The sequence below is a fragment of the Homo sapiens genome, chromosome 20, assembly GCF_000001405.40.
Source record: "Homo sapiens chromosome 20, GRCh38.p14 Primary Assembly".
NCBI lineage: Eukaryota > Metazoa > Chordata > Mammalia > Primates > Hominidae > Homo > Homo sapiens.
Genome location: NC_000020.11, coordinates 4545218 through 4547711, shown reverse-complemented (window position 1 = coordinate 4547711; position 2494 = coordinate 4545218). Strand labels below are relative to the sequence as shown.

At 38.2% G+C, this 2494-nt stretch overlaps 1 annotated feature.

Annotated features, from left to right (window-relative positions):
• Positions 720–1461: an enhancer, noted in NCBI's record as "OCT4-NANOG hESC enhancer chr20:4526897-4527638 (GRCh37/hg19 assembly coordinates)". NCBI's record gives its function as "activates a minimal SCP1, AML or CMV promoter by ChIP-STARR-seq in primed H9 embryonic stem cells {active_cell/tissue: H9 hESC(primed)}" and the evidence as "EXISTENCE:reporter gene assay evidence [ECO:0000049][PMID:30033119]".

Below are 2494 nucleotides of genomic sequence, written 5' to 3'. Positions count from 1 at the left end.
AAGTGAAGTCTCACCCTCCATTTAGGTAATTAATGGAGGCCACTAAAACTCAGATCTCGTTAGGCTTCTTTATAATCAATTGCTTCCAGGATTAAAATTGAGACTCTTGATTGGGGAACTTGAAGCAGATCCAGCAGCCTCAGCTTTCTGATTGCAGTTTTTAAAGCTTCAGCCATTTGAACTTGACAAATAAGATTTGTACCAAGCACCCCAGGGATGTGGAGGCCAGCAAGGTGGCCAAGGTCAGAGGATTGGCAATAGATTCAGAACCATGATGTAGTTCCTAGCAATGGGATTTCTGCAAACACTTATGTGCATTTTCCTATATGGCCATGTCATATCTTTCTCATTTAAATAAGGCAAACTCAAATTGTGAGGTCTGTGCCTTTTCCATTAGATTTCTTATTCTGAAATTTTTATGATTCTAAAACTTTTATCTTACAAAAGATTCACTAAGGTATTTTTCCAAAAATGCATATTACTAGCTGTATGTTTGATTTGGTAGGTCTGAGGTGGGGATGTAGAATTTGAGTTTTTAACAAGGTCCTCAGGTGATTCTTATGCTGGTTCTCCAAGGACCACTCTGTGAAGACATTGCCACAGTGATGAATTTCTAAAGGTTCTGTGTGTCTATGAGAAGAGCGGAGGATGAGGTTGTTATCTCTGCATGTTATTTCTGAGTTGTTATCACTGCCCACACAGTGATCACAGTAAAGTCCTGCATTCAGTGGTATCCAATAAAAGTGACTCATTATTACTCACTGTGCTAGAGTTCATACTCCACCAGATGGAATTCAAGTAGCCATTAATTTATGCCATAAAAAGTTGGGAATGTATTAGTACACAGACAAATGTTTGTTCTTTTAAAAGAGCAATAAAATTGATAAACGCTAAGCAATAGCAATAATAAGCAAGAAAAAAAGAGAGACGGCACAAATACCAATATTAGGAGTTAAAAAAATTTGATGCTGCTACAAATCTATCAGATATGTATTAATCATGCCTTTTTATTTTCTAACATTTTGGCATCTGGGGCCTTGCTGATCTTAGAGAGCCTTCCCATCTCAGAGACTTCCCTCTCTTAGGGCTGATCCTGAATAGACTTTTCCTCTTAGGGCTACCCAATTCCTAGACATAGTGAAGAACTTACCTGCAAGGGTTCCTTTCATATGCAAATAAACCAGTTCAACAACCCCCTTTGTTGAGCTCTCACATGCCTTGCCATTATTTCCCTGCTCCAATCACCCCAGGTCCAGGTTTCTGACAACCAGGGGCGGCCCTTCTCCCTAGAGCCTGCTGAAATTATTCCAATTAGCCAATCATAAACCTACTTAGCACACTTACCCTGCCTTGGCATCTCTTTCCACATACACACACATGCACACACACATACACACACACAAACACATACACACACACACACACAACCAACACAATACTCTTGCCCATGTTTCCCCCTCACTCCCTCTGCTCCTGACTGACCCTGCTGCTTCCCCATGTATTTCTCTGTGGCATGCTGTGCCTTCTGCTTCTATGGAACTGTAGATATTAATACAAAAATCTTCCTTCATGATAGTCATTTCTGTGCCCATGTATTTTATCACACATGATTAAAACAAATCTAATGGACATTTTACAACACATCAAATCAACAATGGATAGAACATCCAGACAGAAAATCAATGAGGAAACATCAGACTTGAACCACACTATACACCAAATGGACCTAATGGATATATGTAGAGCAAGCTTGTCCAACCCGTGGCCCACAGGCCACATGCAGCCCAGGATGGCTTTGAATGCAGCCCAACACAAATTCATAAACTTTCTTAAAACATTATGAGATCTGTCACAATTTTTTTCTTAGCTCAACAGCTATTGTTATTGTTAGTGTATTTTATGTGTGGCCCAAGACAATTATTCTTTCAATGTGGCACAGCGAAGCCAAAAGATTGGACTCCCTTGATGTAGTACATTCTACCAAACTGCAGAGGAATACACATTCTTCTCAAGCACATACGGAACATTCTTTGGGATAGATCACATATGAGACCACAAAATAAGTCTTCACATATTTAAGATTTAAATCATATCAAATATCTTCTCTGACCACAATGGTATGAAATCAGAAATTAACAACAGAAGGTAAATTAGAAAATTCACAAAAATGTGGAAATTTAACAATGCACTCCTGAACATTCGATGAGTCAGAGGAGAAATCAAGACATACCTTGAGAGAAACAAAATGAAAACAATACATACTAAAACTATGGAGTACAGCAAAAACAGTAATGAGAGGGAAGTTCATAGTGAAAAATGCCTGCCTTAAAAAAGAAGAAAGGTCTCAAATAAACAACCTAACTTTACACCTCAGGGAATTCGAGAAAGACGAACAAACTAAACCCAAAGTTAGTGAAAGTTAGTAAAGATTAGAGCAGAAATAAATAAAATGGGAACTAGAAAAACAATAGAAAAAAATCAACAAAACTAAGAA